General features: G+C 40.1%; 1 protein-coding gene across 5 annotated transcripts in view, besides 4 other annotated features; it reads right to left on the bottom strand.

Moving 5' to 3' along the window:
* Nucleotides 111–938: an enhancer, noted in NCBI's record as "NANOG-H3K27ac-H3K4me1 hESC enhancer chr1:111901823-111902650 (GRCh37/hg19 assembly coordinates)". NCBI's record gives its function as "activates a minimal SCP1, AML or CMV promoter by ChIP-STARR-seq in primed H9 embryonic stem cells {active_cell/tissue: H9 hESC(primed)}" and the evidence as "EXISTENCE:reporter gene assay evidence [ECO:0000049][PMID:30033119]".
* Nucleotides 6,275–6,776: an enhancer, noted in NCBI's record as "H3K27ac hESC enhancer chr1:111895985-111896486 (GRCh37/hg19 assembly coordinates)". NCBI's record gives its function as "activates a minimal SCP1, AML or CMV promoter by ChIP-STARR-seq in naive H9 embryonic stem cells {active_cell/tissue: H9 hESC(naive)}" and the evidence as "EXISTENCE:reporter gene assay evidence [ECO:0000049][PMID:30033119]".
* CIMAP3 (ciliary microtubule associated protein 3) overlaps nucleotides 7,122–18,396 on the bottom strand; it is a 28,355-nt gene continuing 17,080 nt past the window's right edge. Inside the window, exons 1-6 of one of the 5 annotated variants that reach the window (NM_181643.6) lie at nucleotides 13,468–13,517; nucleotides 13,090–13,229; nucleotides 12,367–12,465; nucleotides 11,493–11,623; nucleotides 9,916–10,033; nucleotides 7,126–8,880 (exon numbers count right to left, since the gene is read on the bottom strand). In NM_181643.6, the coding sequence (NP_857594.2) occupies nucleotides 8,812–8,880; nucleotides 9,916–10,033; nucleotides 11,493–11,623; nucleotides 12,367–12,465; nucleotides 13,090–13,229; nucleotides 13,468–13,486 (576 nt within the window). In that variant the 5' untranslated portion in view covers nucleotides 13,487–13,517 and the 3' untranslated portion in view covers nucleotides 7,126–8,811. Of the gene's footprint in view, nucleotides 8,881–9,915; nucleotides 10,034–11,492; nucleotides 11,624–12,366; nucleotides 12,466–13,089; nucleotides 13,230–13,467; nucleotides 13,580–18,396 lie in introns of those variants that run through there. The other 4 variants (XM_005270472.2, NM_001300831.1, NR_125338.1 and 1 more) reach the window with 4 other exon arrangements.
* Nucleotides 13,494–13,543: a silencer, noted in NCBI's record as "silent region_1183". NCBI's record gives its function as "represses an Ori minimal core promoter by ATAC-STARR-seq in GM12878 lymphoblastoid cells {active_cell/tissue: GM12878}" and the evidence as "EXISTENCE:reporter gene assay evidence [ECO:0000049][PMID:35858748]".
* Nucleotides 13,674–13,883: an enhancer, noted in NCBI's record as "active region_1494". NCBI's record gives its function as "activates an Ori minimal core promoter by ATAC-STARR-seq in GM12878 lymphoblastoid cells {active_cell/tissue: GM12878}" and the evidence as "EXISTENCE:reporter gene assay evidence [ECO:0000049][PMID:35858748]".

Here is an 18,396-nt window from a genome sequence, read left to right as displayed (position 1 = left end):
ATCTACTGAGATAGGAGAAAACTGCCTTAGGGCTGGAGGTGAGACATGCTCGTGGCAATACTGCTCTTTAATGCATTGAGATGTTTATGTATGTGCACATCAAAGCACAGCACCTTTTTCTTTACCTTGTTTATGATACAGAGACATTTGTTCAAATGTTTTCCTGTTGACCCTCTCCCCACTATTATCCTATTGTCCTGCCACATCCCCCTCTCTGAGATGGTATAGATAATGATCAATAAATACTGAGGGAACTCAGAGACCGGTGCCGGAGTGGGTCCTCCGTATGCTGAGCGCTGGTCCCCTGGGCCCACTTTTCTTTCTCTATGCTTTGTCTTTGTGTCTCTCTCTTTTCTCAGTCTCTCATCCCACCCAATGGGAAACACCCACAGGTGTGGAGGGGCAGGCCACCCCTTCGCAAACACTGGTGATGAAATAATGTTGCCTTCTTCAGGACTATGCCATGATGTACTGGAGAGACAATGGGATCCTAACAGAGGAGCTCATCACAGGGCTCCCCACCTATGGGAGGACCTTCTGGCTCAGAAGCTCTGACACCTCAGGTAGAGCAGGGTCATCTCATCTGGTCCTTCTGCATGCTAGGCTGGATTCGGGACTTAACTGTGAGGTAACTGACATGGCTAATTCAGACTTCAGATGCGCTGGGGAAAATTCCTTCACTCTTCAATTCACCCTGTCATTCTTCTCTTGAGTTCCTATACCCTGGCTTCTCATTGTTCTGAGTATAAGCAGCTCAATGGCTGTGGAACAGTTTCACTTGGGAAAAAAAAATGTGAATTTCCTCTTTGGGCTTTGAAGCACACCATCATTCTTCTCACAGCCTCCAAGTAATACCAGATTCTACTATACCCATGTAAACAACCACAGAAGGATTTTAATAGGCTAGCCCAGGTATAATAAATAATTCAATCTTACAAGTAGAATTAATTGTGTTTACTTGAATTCTGTCCTGAAAATTCTGAGACCGATGGATGAATGATAAGCAGTGTTTGCTAAAAACTCAAGAGCAAACTTGACCACAGCACACGTAGCCATGCTTACCATTTCCCAAATAAACTGGGTATAGAATTAGAATTATACTTGTTTGTAGCCTGGTTTCATGGAAATTTATGTCTTCATTTTATGAGACAAAATCACTTTCTGGAAAGATATGTGAGCTTAATGTAGATTTCATAATGTCCTCTTTTCCACACCCTCCCATTTCTTCCTATTTTTTTCTCCTGTTTAAGTCCTTTCTCCTCCAATACACGGCATAGATCTGTGAAGTACTCAACATTCCCTTCTCCATTCTCCCATAGATCTGCACATTCTTAAGAGAAGCCACAAGTACATGGATTGAAGATCAAAAAGTCCCATATGCTTACAAAACACTGAGTGGATTGGTTATGATACCATTGAAAGCAATGGGTACAAAATACGAGCATCACTAAAAAATAACAATTCTGGCTTCAAATCCTACATTCATCAGAAGACCATTTTCCTAAGACATGTGATTTCAAGATTTTAAATATGACTAGAGAAAGGGTAGACCAACCTTATTATTACTTACTTTTTCTCCAAGACAGAGAAAATTATATAATTAAATATAATATTCAATAATACAATGTATAACATATAGCACAATATACCAAAATATACTAGAATTTTCTAATATGATTAAAGTTTCCCAATGTTTGTCCACTGTGAATCTCTACTAGTATATGTGATGATTTTAAGATTATATCATTACAAGATTTGTCGAAGACCATCACCTTTAATGACAATAATAAAAATAGCCCTTTATATTTTTACCTAAATGCTTTACTCTTAGAAACCAAGAATTTACAACCATTATCTTACTTGATTATACACAATCCAGTGTAGTAAAAAACACCCTCTCCATTTTACAGGTATATAAGCTGAGGATCATATATGCTCATAGACTAGTCCAAGGTCACATAGCTGGAAAAGAAAAGCAGTAATCGAATATGTGGTCTGGCTCACAGTCTAGGTTCTTTCTACTATGCCACTCTGTTTGTTCATTACAGAATCCGGGTCAGGAGAAAGGTGGCTGACAAGGAGGAAGGAAGGGGCCTTATAGTGCAGTGGTTAAGAGTTTAGGCTTTGGAATCAGTTATACCTTGTTCTAAATCTTCAGTCTGAGACTGGGTGAGTTCCAACAAATTTATGAAAGAATAATAACAGAATCTATATGGTAGTTGTGAAGTATTGTGAAGATTGAGTAATTAATGTAAAAATATAGCTTAACCTAATGCTATTTAATACTAGAATTAAATAAATAATAACTTTATTTATATTTACTACCCAAGAGTTTATTAAATAGGACAAGAAAACAAGAATAGAGCTGAGTCCATCAATTATGTCTTGAATCCACAAAGCACATACCCTTTTATAGAAGAAGAGCATTTATCTCCCTATTGTCACCTGTCAGCCCATACTCAGTTGTCTGCTTGTTGAATGGATGCCATCTGATTCTGGTCCAAGTACACTTTTTGTCCACAGGTGGACTTTCTCAAGGAGAACAATTTTGCTTGGTCCATGGTTTGGACCATTGATTTGGATGACTTCTCAAGGTCCTTCTGCAATGAGAGGAAATACCTGCTCATAAGCAAGCTGAAGTCACACCTGGTTCTGTCCTCAGGTGCATCATGACTAAGTCCAACATGCTGTTCTGAAGAAGATGCAGGTGAGGCTGCAAAGAACAGCAAAGACAAGAGAGGCCAGGGTGCACGGAGACAGCCAGGGAACTTCTAGGCCCTCACAGCTGAGAAAAGGGACACACTTACAGAAAGTGCCCTTTTAGAAATCTGCTTTTTAGTCATGGGACCAGCGCTAAGTTTGATAGCTAGAATTTGAATGCACTAGATACCCTAGACCTAGGCCTTGTTGCTCAGAAAAATTTAGGCCAGGAACTGGGTATCCTGAAAACCAGCTTGATATACAGACATGTCTTGTTTTATTGCACTTCACTTTATTGTGCTTTGCAGATATTGTGTTTTTCACAGATTGAAGGTTTGCAGCAACCCTGTGATAAGAAATTCTATCAATCAGTGCTGTTTTTCCAACAGCATGTGCTCATTTTGTGTCTCTATGTCACATTTTGGTAATTCTCACAATATTTCAAATGTTTTCACTACTATTATTTCTACTATGGTGATCTATGATTAGTGATCTTGAATGTTGTCATTCTAATTGTTTTGGGGCACAAGTAATAGCACTCATGTAAGACAATGAACTTAATCAATAAATGTATGTGTTCTGACTGCTTCACCGGCCGTTTCCCTATCTCTCTTCCTCTCCTGGAGCCTCCCTATTCTCTAAGACAGAACAAAATTGAAATTAGGCCAATTAATAACCCTATAATATCCTAAGTGTTCAAGTGACAGGAAAAGTTGCATATCTCTCACTTTAAATCAAAAGCTAAGCTTAGTGAGGAAGACATGTTGAAAGCCAAGATAGGCCAAAAGCTAGGCCATTTGTGCCAGTTAGCCGTGTTGTGAATGCGGAGGAAAAAGTTCTTGAAAGAAATTAAAAGTGCTACTCTAGTGAACACATGATTGATAAAAAAGTAAAACAGTCTTATTGCCATATGAAGGAAGTTTTAGTGGTCTAGATAGAAGATCAAACCAGCGATAACTTTCCCTTAAGCCAAAGCCTAATCCAGAGCCAGGCCCTAACTCTTCAATTCTATGAAGACTGGGAGGAGTGATGAAGCTAAAGAAAAAAAGTGTGAAGCTAGCAGAGGTTGGTTCATGAGGTTTAAAGAAAGAAGCCACCTCTACAACATGAAAGAGTAAGGTGAAGCAGCGAGTGTTGACATAGAAGCTGCAACAAGTTATCCAGGTGATGAAGTTAAGATCATTGGTAAAGGAGGCTACACTAAATAACAGATTTAGTTATTTATGTAGCTAAGGTGACAAGACATCCTTCTATTGGAAGAAGATGCTCATCTAGGACTTTTGTAACTAGAGAGGAGAAGTCAATGCCTGGCTTCAAAGCTTCAAAGGACAGGTTGACTCTCTTCTTAGGGGCTAATGCAGCTGGTGACTTTAAGTTGAAGCCAATGCTCATTAACCATTCTGAAAATCCTAGGTCCATTAATAATTATGTTCAAACTACTCTGCCTGTGGTGTATAAATGGAACAATAAGGCCTGGATGATAGCACATCTGTTTACAGTATGGCTTCCTGAATATTTTTAGACCACCATTGAGACCTATTGCTCAGAAAAAATTTCTTTTAAAATATTACTGGCCATTGACAATGCATCTAGTTACCAAAGGGCCTGGATGGAGATGTACAAAGAAATTATTGTTGTTTTCATGCCTGCTAACACAACATCTATTCTGCAGCAAATGGATCAATAGTAATTTTGACTTCCAAGTCTTATCATTTAAGGAAATACATTTTATAAGGCTATAGCTGCTGTACAGAGTGATTCCTCTGATTAATCTGGGAAAAGTAAATGGAAAACCTTCTGGAGAGGATTCACCATTCTAAGATACTATCAACTACCTGTGTGATTCAAAGGAAGATGTCAAAATATCAACATTAACAGAAGTTTGGAAGAAGTTGATTCCAACCCTCAAGGATGACTTTGATGTGTTCAAGACTTTTGTGGAGGAAGTCACTGCAGATGTGGTGGAAATAGCAAGAGAACTAGAATTAGAAGTGGAGCCTGAAGATGGGACTGAATTGCTGCAATCTCATGATAAAACGTGAACAAATGATGGGTTGCTTCTTATGGATGAGCAAAGAAAGTAGTTTCTTGAGATAAAATCTACTCTTGGTGAAAATGCTGTGAACATTGTTGAAATGACCACCAAGGATTTAGAATATTATATAAACTTAGTTGATAAAGTAGCAGCAGAGTTTGAGAGAACTGACTCCAATTTTGAGAGAACTGACTCCAATTTTGAGAGAAGTTCTACTGTGGGTGAAATGTTTTCAAGTAGCATTGCATACTACACAGAAATCTTTCATGAAAGGAAGTCAATTTCAATTTGATGTAGCAGACTTTATTGTTATCTTAAGAAACTGGTACAGCCACCCCAACCTTTAGCAACCACCATCAGTCAGCAGCCATCAACACTGAGGCAAGATGCTCCACCAGCAAAAAGATTATGGCTCACTGAAGGTGTAGATAGTTCTTAACATTTTTTAGCAATAAAATATTTTAAAATTAAGGTATGTACACTGTTTGAGACATAATGCTATTTCACACTTAATAGACTACAGTAGAGTGTAAACATAACTTTTATATGCACCAGGAAACCAAAAAACTTGTGTGACTCATTTTATTCCAACATTTGCTTTATTGTGGTGGCCTGGAACTGAGCCTGCAACATCTTTGAGGTATGCCTGTATATACTGGCATTTATCTCTGAGCTAGATCAATTCTCTCATTCATGGCAGTGCACCATTTCCTAATTTAGATGCATACATTTTGTTGTCTGGGTCTTGGTGAGGATGGCTAGAGGGACATCATAAAAAGGATCAGGGACAAACACTCAGGTGGCTGATGGGTCTCAACATATGAAGCAAGAAACTCCTGCCCTTCGTGGGCTTTGTGCATTCCTTGGATTAAGCATCCCTTGAGGCAGGTCTCAAAGTGGAGATAGAGAAGTGGAAGATGCTATCTGAGAGGTTCCTTAGGTCTCTAAGGAAATTAATATAATTGTTGATTTTTAGAACTGTAAAAACCTATGAGAGATTATAAAATGATTTGCTTGGCTGGGCGCGGTGGCTAATGCCTGTAATCCCAGCACTTTGGGAGGCCGAGGCATGTGGATCATGAGGTCAGGAGTTCAAGACCGGCCTGGCCAATATGGTGAAACCCCATCTCTACTACAGAACACAAAACATTAGCCGGGAGTGGTGGCACGCGCCTGTAGTCCTAGCTACTCAGGAGACTGAGGCAGGAGAATCGCTTGGACTCGGGAGGCAGAGGTTGCGGTGAGCCAAGATCGTGCCACTGCACTCCAGCCTGGGTGACAGGGTGAGACTCTGTCTCAAAAAAACAACAACAAAAAAATTATTTGCTCAAATTAAACAATGAGCCAGAAAATTTTAGTGGTTGAGAGCATTCTACTGGTAGAGGAAAATTAAATATAAAACTTCTGAATCACCGTGGAAGAGGAAAGAAGGGAAAAACAGTGCTGAAACGAAGCAAGGAAACATAGAGCACAAAAGACAAAGCATAACAAGATGACAAAAACCCAAATATATTACATATGACAGAAATACTGACAGATAAGCCTCCCTTATCGAAACCCAAATATTAATGAATCTCAACATAAAGTCCTTTCCTATCACTGTAGGGTTGGATTTGTTTCCCCTCTAGTGGAAGTAGAATGGAAGCCCAGGCTTGACATCCTGCTAGGACCCCAGAGGCCTTTGTTTCACTCCTCCCTGCTTTGGACATCTGTCCCCGTGCAGCATTCTTCCCAGCTAACAGCTTCCCTCCAGTTCTCTGAGAACAGAACTGATATAGGGGAATGTCCAGAGCTGCTTGTTTCTATGTTTAAAAGAGGTTAAGATGATGCTTTGAAATGTTTTTATTCTTTTAGAATGTATTCCACCAGCTGTCAACAGCTGGTATAACCGACCTGTGACACCCAGAAGTGAAGGCTTCTGTGCTAATATTGGCAGAGGCAGTGGCCGTGGTAGAGAAGGTGGCAGTGATGGGGGAAGTGATGGAGAAGGCGGCAGTGATGGGGGCAATAGGGGAGACAGAGCTTTCTGTAGTGGTAAAGCAGATGGCATTTATAGTAATCCTGAAGATAATAACAAGTTCTACTGGTGTGTGGAAGGCAATACCTTTCACCTCAAGTATGCCCAAGGTTGGAGCAGAACTGTAAGTGTTGCAACTGGCCTTAAACATACTCATAAAATCCTAGTGTCATAGATTCTGTTGTCTGCATGTCAAACTACATCCTCCAATATGTCATGTAGTCTACGTATTATATAAATCTGTCACTTTGGAAGCTTTACCCCACTAAAACTGCATTATAATAAAGCTTAACTCTATTAAGACCTAAAAATACTATAAACTCCTCGAACCAAGTCTAGATGTAAAATAAATATGGCACAGTATGTTTTAGTCTTCGTGTTCATTTGTACTTTATTACTTTTATATACAATGTAGCATTTAAAGTATCCTGAAGGTTAACTGAAGCTATATTAAAATTTTATCTTTCATCAAATCAGATTACTATTTTAGAGAGTTCCTTTCCCTGGGAAAAGCTTTGAGCGTCTCTGTACCAAACAGTGTGAAAGATGTTCTATCCCCACCTCCACCCCCATCAATATCCTCCAAAGGGACCTAAGAACTTGAAGCAGAAAAAAAAACATTAAATGCTAAATTGTCACCTCTGAAAAAATCTGCACATGTGGGTACAAAGGAGAAAAAGGAGGGAGGTGTACAGGAGAGGTGATAACAGTTAATCCTGACTTATCTCAAGTCATAAATACTTCTTGATAACAGAAATCATTAAGTCATCAGATTAAAAGAAGTGTATATATTAGGTATGTTCTTGCTGAGGTATCTTTATCATTATCTTAATATATCCTATGTGATTTCTCATAAAGACTTTTCTGTCCTTCACCATTATTATTTCAGAAGACCTTGGCCTTTAAGGAATTAGGCACCCCCAGCATCATATGACCAGGAGGCTTCACCTCTTGCTAGCCCTTTCCCCAGGTAACACTCATCAGGGGGTGGCCATGAGGGTTACAGTAGGCTCTCTTGCAGCCACTGGCAGCTTCTCAATCTTTGGTGTCCAGACACATGCAGGCTTATCACCTTTCTGGTAATTACGAAGAAGCCTAAGTGGGTACAAAAGGACCCTTTTATTAAAAGATTAAATCACATTTAGTGCCAATCCTGAACAAACTATATACTTGATTATTTCAGCTAGTGCTGGAAAGAAAGGGGTCTATCTCTCAGGCCTGAGTGTCTGAGTAAGTACTTTAAATGCAGCTGCTTACAAGTCAGTCTGGGGCTATAAATGTTATGATCTTTATAACCCCAGAATGACTTGTAAGGTTCTAGGGGGTCATTCAGATTGGAGGGCAGACCCAATCCCCTAGCTGCCCTGGGGAGTCCTCCTCTGACTTCAGGCCAGGCCCAAGGACTTAGTAGATAAGTTTATTTTGATTCCTGCCATATCCCCAGTGCTTACTGCTCTGCTCAACACATAGTAGGACCTCAGTATATATGTTGACTCACAGACTAAATGGATGATGTCATAGGAAAGGGGCAATTTTTTGGTTTTTGAGTTTTATGTCAATCTGGGAAAGTCAACCAAATCAAGACCTTCCCACTCCACACTGAGCAACACAATTGGGAGAGCTCCAATACATGTTTTAATCTGCCTTAAGTGTTTTCTGTATCTAGCAAGCCCAAATCCCATCCAAACCCTTGACATGTATAGGCTAACAGCCTCCTATGACCAGGGCTAGTGGTAGAATATATAAAATTGGCTCCTGGGAATTAGAACTAGAGAGCAGGGGCCCACAAATATTTCACTAAAATGAAATCACCCAACTCAGCACCCAACAGAAACCCACAGACCCAGACATGCACGTGTACACCACAAGTCAGTAGATGGAGATAGCACTGTGCACTAGTCTTTATGTTCTCATACAGCAGCTATAAGCCCCTGTCCCTCCCTGGGCTCCAGGCTGCCAGACAAGAGGGCCACAGTAACGTAGAAGAAGAAGAGCAGCTCTGTCCTCAGTCCTGGAGAGTCTGTGTATAAGAGGAGCACGTGAAGGTAGTTACAGCCGCTCAATTATAATACAGGCTTAGGTAGGCCACACGGTTCCGATGCTTTCTAAAGTCTTTGTCTGTGGACAGCTGCAATGAAAGAACGTTTTCTAGATCAATATTCTAATGAGAACCCTCTGCCTCTGGTCTTCCCAGTTATGCAAAAAAAAAAAAAAAAAAAACTGTACATTATAGAGGTGAATCCCAACTCCATAGTAATCTAGCCTTAGTGATTCTCCCAAAATTTGTATGTACATCTACCCTTTATCATCTTACTATAGTGTATACCATGCTAGGAATTATTTACTACTTAGTAAATCCCCAAGCAGTTGGTGGGCTTCTTGAAGTCAAGGACTATATGTTTAATTCTTGAGTTGTTGCCCATAGGCCCTAATGCAATAATGTTAATACATTTGGCATTTAATAAATAATTGTAGAATTAATGAAAAGTTCCACTAGGAAAGAAAAAAGCACCTCTGGAATTATGATAGCTAACAGATTGAACAATTACTATGTTATCAAGTACTGTGTTAAATGATTTTCCACATTTTCTTTATAACCTTATCGGATTGATTCTATTTTAATACCCATTTTACAGATTAAAAAACTGAGGCTTAGAAAAGTCAAAAGATTTGCTCAAGATTACACAAGTAAATACTGCAGCTAGTATTTGAATCCAGGCAGTTTTGTCCCCATAATCCATGCTCTTAGCTGAATTCTCTATGGCTCCTCAGTGATCTAGTACTCAAGGGGTATGTCGGAAAGAGCAATGTATTAGGAGTCACAAGATCCAGATTCCAGTAGTGAAACCTGCACAAATCACTTAATCCATCTGGGCCTCTATTGTGTAGGGATATTTCCTCTGTACCTACCACAAAAGTTATTTAAGGATCAAATAAGAAAATGTCACTTTTGTTTAGTCATATATACCTTTAAGAATCTAATGAAATAGTGTAATTCTCCAAAAAGTTCCTCAGATTCATATACACACAAAATTGTGCATATAATTTTTTGGGACCAAGGACTTCCTGAAGTTCATTCACAGACCCCTAATTAAGAGTCCCTAATACCTATGAAAGTACTAGATCGAATAAGAGTCTTCTACAGAAGTTCCAATCTTATTACCTCAGCTTTTAGGGTTCTTTTCTGTAGACATGGAACCTGAGCCCAGTCTGGAGATCCAAATTTCATTGGCCAGGCAATTTTTGGCGGTGGCTTCTTCTCTGGGTTGTATGCACCAGGGCTAGAAATAAAAATACAAGCATCATGTCTAATGAGTTAGTGATCATACACAAACTCCATCAGTACCAGAGCCGTCCCTGGACTAGGCCTAACCTCTTGGAAAAAGGCAACAGATTGATTAGCTTTTTAATTAAGCATGGGATTCCTTTACCTGTTAATGTATTTCGAGTTAGATGTTAGCGTTAAACATCTAACTTGACAATCTTGACATCCAGTTAGAGCACAGATCGACTCCAGATTAAAAGATATTTCTGTACCTCAGTATCTATAGCTGAGAGATGAGAAGGTCCTAGAAGCGGTGGGTGATGAAAGAGATCTAAAGCAGTGATGAATTAGTACTGCCCACAATTTAAAGTTGGTGATAAAAGTGCAGTGATAATCTATCTGCAATGTAGGCAAAGCAAAGCAAAGCAAAGCCAGTTAAATTTTCTTGACAATGGGGTCATTTAAAAATTGTCTTTGTTCATATACACTTTGTCTTTTGGTGTGGACTCTTTACTGTCAGGAAATAATGGACTGGACTTGGGGGTCAAGACTCAATGCTTCTACTTCCTTAATGCAACTTGAGAAAGTTACATCACTCTGTGATCCTTGGATTTCTCATCAATAAAAGAAAGTCCTTGATCTTTTGCCCTACAAGTCTATACATTCTGAATAGCTTCCTAAAGCATTGAGAATAAGCCTGTTGGCCTGCAAGGCCTATGTGCTCCAGCATGCCCTCCATTTCTGTCTCATTTCCTACTTGCTCACTACACTCTAGCCATGGCAGCATGCCTTTTTGTTCACGTCAAATTCCTTCCCAATTTATAGCCTTTGCACTTGCTGTTCCTTCTGCTGGGAATGCTCGGTCCCCAGATCTTCACAGGGCTGGCTCAGTCTTGTCATTTAGATCTCAGGTTAACTGTCATTTCTTCAACCCTTTCTAAAGTAGACTCCAGGCCATCACTCCCTATCACATTGTCATCCTGTTTTACCTTCTTTGTAGCCTGGACAACCTACTTCCTGGTTTGTCCATGACAGTCCCTACCTTATGGGTACTGTCTTGGTAGAATTATTAATAGGCCCCCTTTTACTCTCAGAAGTGTCATCGTTTGACTAACAAATTATATGGTCACTCTATCACTATTGATATTTTCTTGTGTATTTGCCTGTGCTCTGTCTGGACTCTAGAATGTAAGCCCCAAGAAATCAGGAGCCTTGTGTGATGGATTTAGTGCAAAAATCTATCGAACCTACAAAACTACCTGGCATGTTAATAAAAATTCATTGAATGAGTAACTATGATTCTACATTCTACAATGCCAGAAATCTGTGAGACAATTGATTAAATCTCTGAATGGTTCCTTATTTAACTGCGATGGTTTGGATGTCATCCCTTCTTTATGTGCTTCTTTTATTACGTACTTCTTTTCCTCCTATTGCTTTTTTTGTTGAAGTGCACCAAAAGGGAGGAGACATACCTGGGATAGTAAGTGTCCTTTGGGTAGTTCTTAAATCGAGGCACCAAGACATTAAATGGAGCAAAATTTTGTTTGTGTTTTTCCTGCTGAGGACTTACTTTCTGGTACCTGCCTGCATGAGGTGTCATTTCCTGTTTCCAAGAAAAAGATCATTATGTTACAGAGTGATATGTATATATATACACATAAAGCCTTCCAGGTAGAAAAAACAGAATCATCCTCTTTCTGTTCATAAATCAGCTATGGTTCAGCCACCTCAAGCTACAGAAATAAGTCTTCGGTAGGTAGAAAACCGAGATACGGGTGTGGTTCAGCTACCTAGTGATACGTAATATATAGGTTGTAGAAATAAATCTAGGATGGGTAGAGAACCAAGGCAACTTATCACGGCCACTATGCTTAACACCTCACTGAGAGATTTTTAGAGATAGTATCTCTGCTCCCTAAGCTCAAGTGTCAGGAAAATGTCGTCCAATAAGAGATTAGGATCCCCTACTGAACTTTAGACTTGCAACCCAATCACACAAAAGGGTGGAAAAGTTGGAATTTGTTATTTAACTGACAAGACAATATAATGTATATAAACACAAGCTTCGAATGTTTAACCTCAGGCATCTCAACACTAAAGCCCTGTGTTGGGACCATTTCTTCAGTAAATTGTTTTCCACTCTCCCCGGTACACTCACACGCATATTTGCAATGTTAATGCCCAAGCTTTTCAGATAGGCTTCTTAATAGCTTTTGCTTAAATGCCTACTTTTCTTTAATTTCAGGGCATATTCTTTTAGATCACCCCCCTCTTGCTCTCTGCCCTTTGCACTCCTGTGCAAATGCATGCAACAACGTGGATAACACTAAAATCCCAGCACATTACCTTCTGTATTGGCTTAAACCTCACAGCTGTTCTGGCTCCCAAAGTATATCCTTTTATACTGGTTGGGATCTTAGATAAGTCGTATGCCAAGCCATATCCCTTTGGGTGGTATATTAAAAAACAAACAAAAACACCAAAAAAAAAAAAAAAGAAAGAAAAAACAACGCATAGTCAGAGAACATCAGGGCCATCGAAATGGAGTGAGCTTAGTGTGTTCCCATCTGAACCTTCTCTGCAAGGGATTATTCTTTATTGTCTTGACTCCTTTGAGGTCAAGACCATAGAATTACACAAGTAATACAGGTAACTTTGTAGAGGGGTGTGGCTGGATACGTAGACTATAGGACATTGCCATATATTCAAATGCATCAGTCTTCGGAGCCCCACAGAGCTGAACTTACTCTAATGCAACTGTCAGCCTGAGGTTTGGAGGAATGGGAGGGTAACTGGCACTGGCTCAGAGGCCTTTGGAAGTGAGGAAGGAGTAGGGATTTTATGAAGCTAGGGCTTGCGTTTAATGGAGGTGCAAGGCGGGGAGCAATAATCCTTTAATCTCTGGCATTGGCTGAAACAGCTGCTTGCAGAAGAACAGAGCGCTTTCTTATGCTGGGACTCTGGAGATCTCAAGTCCCACAGAATTTTTTCTTTTACGAAACTTGGAAACTTGGCTATCCCTCAATAGCCGGGGAACTGAGGAGCATCTAAGGGGAGGTGAATACTCACATCTGAAAAATAACACCCAGGCCCTCTGTGGGGTGATCCCCTAAGAGGGACAAACTTGTTCCCAATCAAATTCGGGGGATGGAAGTGAGGAAAAAGTTTCCTCTGTTGACATGTTCCAAAAGGGTAGTTATCCGCAGCGTCTAAAATAAAGAGGAGAGGCTCCACGTGAGGGACGGCACCTGGGTCTACGTGAGCGCGTTCCGGGAGGGGAAGGTCGGGGAGACTGAGCAGAGGACAGGGCCCAACCGTGCGCTTACAAAACCACGCCAAACTCCTGGAGGGGGGCGAACTGCACTTCCTCCCACTTCGTCTTTCCCAGCTTCCCCACCCTTCCCCCTACCTGCCCTCTACTCTAGGCTTCTCGGCAGCCCTCCTCACCTGCTCTGCTGAAGCACATCGCGAGCTGCTAGGGCTAGCACTTGTGTACTGCGTTGCCAAGGAAACGAAGGCTAGTCCCGTGATTCCCAGCTGCGGAGCGCGGGGAGGGGGAGAGGGCCCGAGCGCGCCTGCGCGGCAAGTTGGGGCGTCCACCGAGCCACTACTGGGGCAGGAACCCGCACCTTGGAGCCCAAAGCCCAGGGGATTGTAAACTCAGTAGCTGGGCTGCGGGTAGAGGGTTTCCTGGATTCGCGGCTGTAGGGGCTGCAGGGTTGACGGGGCGGCAAATAGCTTTGGAAGCTGGGCCAAGAGGAATGCGCTGTTGTAGAGGGAAGGACAGTGAGGTTCAGAATGTCCCGAAGTCTGGGCCACCAGCAAGTAAGGTGAAAGTAGAAAGACAGCCGCTGCAGCGTACCGGGGTGGACTCCCTGGGCAACGCCCCAGCAGAGGAGTAGGGGGCGGAGTTGAGCTGACAGCTAGTTCCATATTAGGCCCTTAGACCATTTTTCCTTTTCCTCAAGCCCCTCCAATCAGGTTGCCCATTCTATCCCGGGGGGCCGTGGGGAGGGGGCGCGAGGTTTTAAAAGAACTGGAGGCCTTGCGTGGACCGGGTAGAATGCCACGGAATCAGAGAAGACTCTAATAGTTTTTTTTTTAGAAGTTGGGGCAGTCAAATTTCTAAGCCCCAGTTTTCTCATCTCTAAATTGGGAATAAAAATTCCTCTATATAGGATTGTTGAGAGGATCAAGATGACGGGATTAAAACAGTTCAGAACGTGGTACTTGGTGGGTGACATACGACAGGTTATTATCACTGAAGATAATAATAACCGAAGAAAAAAAGATCAGAGTGTGTTTTGTCTTTTTTGCCTTTGTCATGGATATTAACACTAGCTTGTTTTCACTCGATTTTTAGGATGGCTTTAGGAGTTGTCCAGGTGTTAGAGGTTAACAGAACACCCAGTGTGACTGGTCCATACTTTGACCCTTTACAGGTGATGACCCTGGAATCCACACATACTCCGCGTTAGGACAGCCTTCAGGGATGATTTTTATAGATCTAAGGTAGACTTTCCAAAAAAGGTGACAGTGACTCCCAGAGGGTGTTTTGGAAATTTGTGGAAGAATTTTTGCTTGTTAAAAATTGTTGGGGTGTTGTTCCTGGTCAACAGGCTAGGGAGGCTAGACATCCTACACTGCATTGCCCAGGCATACAGTGAGTTGTCCCATGTCCCACATGACATTCAAATATGTCCTGTTGGACTCTACAAAAATAATTAGTAGTAGTTATATACATTAACATTGTGAAGAAATTTATAGGAAATAATGCAGAAAGCCCAGTAATATAAAAGGTTGTTATGAGGAGCCAAGCTTAAATGGAATAAAGATAGGGTCTGAAAATTATTGTATAATTTACTCCAAGCATTTTGTCTACTTAAAATACAATTGCAATAATACTGATAGTAAATAAAATGTAAAGAAATGCAATCACCCATTACTTAGTGATGAGGATGTTTTCTAAGAAATGTGTCATTAGGCAACTTTGTTTTGCGAACGTCATAGACTATATTTAACACAAACCTAGATGGTATAGCCTACTACACACCTAGGCTTATAGTATGGCCTCTTACTCCTAGGCTACAAACCTGTACAGCACATTACCATATTGAATACTGTAGACAATTGTAACATGATATTAAGTATTTATGTATCTAAACTTACCTAAACATAGAAAAGGAACAGTAAAACTATGGTTTAAAATTAAAAATGGTACACCTGTATAGGGCTGCTCCATTGTAATTTTAGGGAGCCACCATTGTATATACAGTTCATCATTGATCAAAATGTCTTCATGTGGTGTATGACTGTATTGGTATGGATTTGATGATTTTTACTTCCATTAATAATTTAGGTAATATTAACATTTGTAGGTATTAATGTGCTTTTTGAAAATAATGTTTACATTATTTGTGACATGAAATGTATTTCGCAAAGTTTCTTGAAAATGTGGTAATCCATTCTTACTTTGGTAGACTGGTTTGCTTCAGACTAATTCTCCAGCTGAGAACAGGTGAATTGAATAAGTAAAATATATATGTTTGAAGATATCAAAGATATACCCAGAAAGAAAGAACATTCAGAACCAAAATCTCAGAGAGAAGAGAAGCCCAAAGTGGTGAGTTCAACCTTGGTGCTGCTGTTCCATTGGAACGCTTGCTAAATAAAAAGCTGGCTAAGAAGCAGAAGATTTGAGCAGAACTTTGGTTAGACAGCCTCTGAGAACTCGGAAACAAGATTTAGGTTGGCCATGGAGAAGGGGAAACTGGAAAACACAGTTTGAAGTTTAAGTCAGAACTTCAAAGAGATAAACCCTAGGAATAAGGGTAAACAAGAAATAGACCAGCTGTCAAAAAACCCTGAAGTTCAGCTTTACACCAATTCAGTTCCCAATTGCATTAAAGTGATCCACTTCTATCCTTATTGCATGTAATAAACAAAAGTAAGTATTTTCTGAAGATATCATCCAGAGACTCAACTAATTTTTACATTTTTTTCATGCAAAATGTTTGGCATTTGATATAAAACAAGAGCTTATAATAAAAGAGTAGAAACAGACCCACAGAAAAATCCAGATATCAGAGTCATTAAACATGGACTTTAAAATAACCATACTTGGTTTGAGATTTTGGAGAAAGCAACAGGACTGCAAGGTGAACATAGGGAAGCGAAAGAAAGCAAGGAAATAACATAAAGCAAATGCTTGACTTCTTAGGTAAGAGCCTAAAAGAAAAAGATCAGACTCTAAAAACAAAGTCAATAAAGATCCCAGTATACTCAAGGAAAGAGAAATTTCCCATCAATCTCTGTTCATATTGCCAATGTGATCAACATAACTTAACTGGGCCCATCTACATCCTGAGTGATGCAAAATTTATCAACTTTTCAGTAAAGCCAGACCGAACATCGTATAGTCAAAGACAGACTGTCTATATGTCATGTGTATCTCCTGTATAACCATCTGTGTAATGATAATAGGCTAATGCAGAATTTCAGGTAGCTCTAAGAATTGCCAAAAGGCCAGTTTTTGAATGATGACCATGCACAAAGGAACTCATGCAGGTGTCTGCTAGTACCAGGGAGTACTTAGACAAAGTTTTATAGTGTAGCCAGTTTTGATGAAGACCTTAAGAATTCAGTAGTTTCCATCATGCACATTTTATAGTATCAAGAGGATGCCAGATGTTTATGGAGACTGTTATAGCTTTATGAGACAGTTAATGGCTTTTCTCACTTGACTGTCTCTGAGGACATATAAGAATTATTATTATTCCAGGGAATTACTTGCTCTGTTGCAATGGTCTAATTTAATGAGGATAAGTAGATTCAATTTTTTGTATAATGTTTTAAATAGATTTGTCTCATTTTAAAATTATTGAATTAAATAATAATCAATTCAACACAGAGGAAAAGCTGATTACCATATTTAAGAAATTAAATGACAAGATGAATTTAGAAACAGTAAATGAATCAAATAAAATTGTAGAAGTAAAAAGTATTGTTGCTGAAAATAATAATTCAATGTATGGGTTTAACAGCAGATTAGAAAAGCTGAAAAAAGTGAATGAATGGACTTCCAGTTCCAAAATAGCAGCATAGAAGCAAACTGGCTTCACCCTTTGCCTTCTCTAGAAAACCAAAACCAGATATACAGCACTGGGATTATCACCAACAATATCCCAGAATTCAAATATGAAAACAGTTGCCAGGGCCACGAGAAGTGAAAAAATTCCAAGCAGACGGTAAGAGAATTGGACTTCCACATCTGTGGCACCTCTCCTGCCATTCTGCCCAGAACAAGCATGTGGAAAATTTTCCTCCAGTTCAGTTTCTACATTGGAAAAAGTGATACTGAGATGGACAACCAGTTTTCCCACTATCTTGGGTTTCCTTGCAGAAGATCTGCCCCTGCCTTAACCCACAGGAAGCATCACAGTGCCTGGGGGGAGAAATATACCTGAAAACAGGCAGAGGCAAAGGGAGGAGGCAGGATTACCTAACCAGCCCTGAAAACTCTGTAACTCAGCTAAAGGAGATGCCAAATCAGAGTGGCTGTTCAGCAGTGCAAAGCTGTAGGAAGTTCATCCCACAGGTCTCCTGGGCACAAACCCCTAGCTGGCCTTCTCACACTAAGAATTTATCTCAACAAGGGATATCTCAACAAGGGGTTCCACTTTTGGCTCCAAGGCTGATGCTCTTGCTAGGTCTCAGTTTGTGGAAAGAGAAAGGGACCAGGAAGGCAAGGCCTGAAAGTTGGACACATCATTTCCACTCATGTACAGAACTTAGACATGGCCACCTGGATACGGTATTCTTAGCTGGCAGTTTTTTTCTTTCAGCACTTTGAAAATGTCATTACACTTACTCCTAGCCTGTATAGTTTCCATTGAGGAATCTGTTGCTGGATGAATTGGGGATCCTTATATGTTATTTGCTTCTTTTCTCTTGCCGCTTTTAGGATCGTCTCTTTCTCCTTGACCTTTGAGAGTTTATTCCTTGGGGTAGTCTTATTTGAGTCATATCTATTTAATGTTGTCAGACCTTACTGTACATAGGTGTTTATATCGTTCTCAAGTTTCGGAAAGTTTTCTGTTATTATTTCTTTGAATGAGATTCTACCCCATGCTCATGCTCGACTCCCTCTTGAACACCAATAATTCTTAGATTGGGTCTTTTGAGGTAATTTTGTATATCTTGTAGGAAATTTTCTTTTTTTTTCATTAAAACATTATTTTATATCACCAAATATAAAATAAAGCTTTTCAAGTGAAACGAGAAATAAGTCCAAAGTAAATTAACATAGATCATTATATGATAAAAAGCTTCATGCAAATTGTCTGCACTGTTAACAAAGCTGCTTCAGAGTCATCC

The sequence above is a fragment of the Homo sapiens genome, chromosome 1, assembly GCF_000001405.40.
Source record: "Homo sapiens chromosome 1, GRCh38.p14 Primary Assembly".
In the NCBI taxonomy this organism is placed as follows: domain Eukaryota; kingdom Metazoa; phylum Chordata; class Mammalia; order Primates; family Hominidae; genus Homo; species Homo sapiens.
Note: the sequence above shows the minus strand (reverse complement) of the source record. Positions and strands in the feature narration are given on the sequence as shown.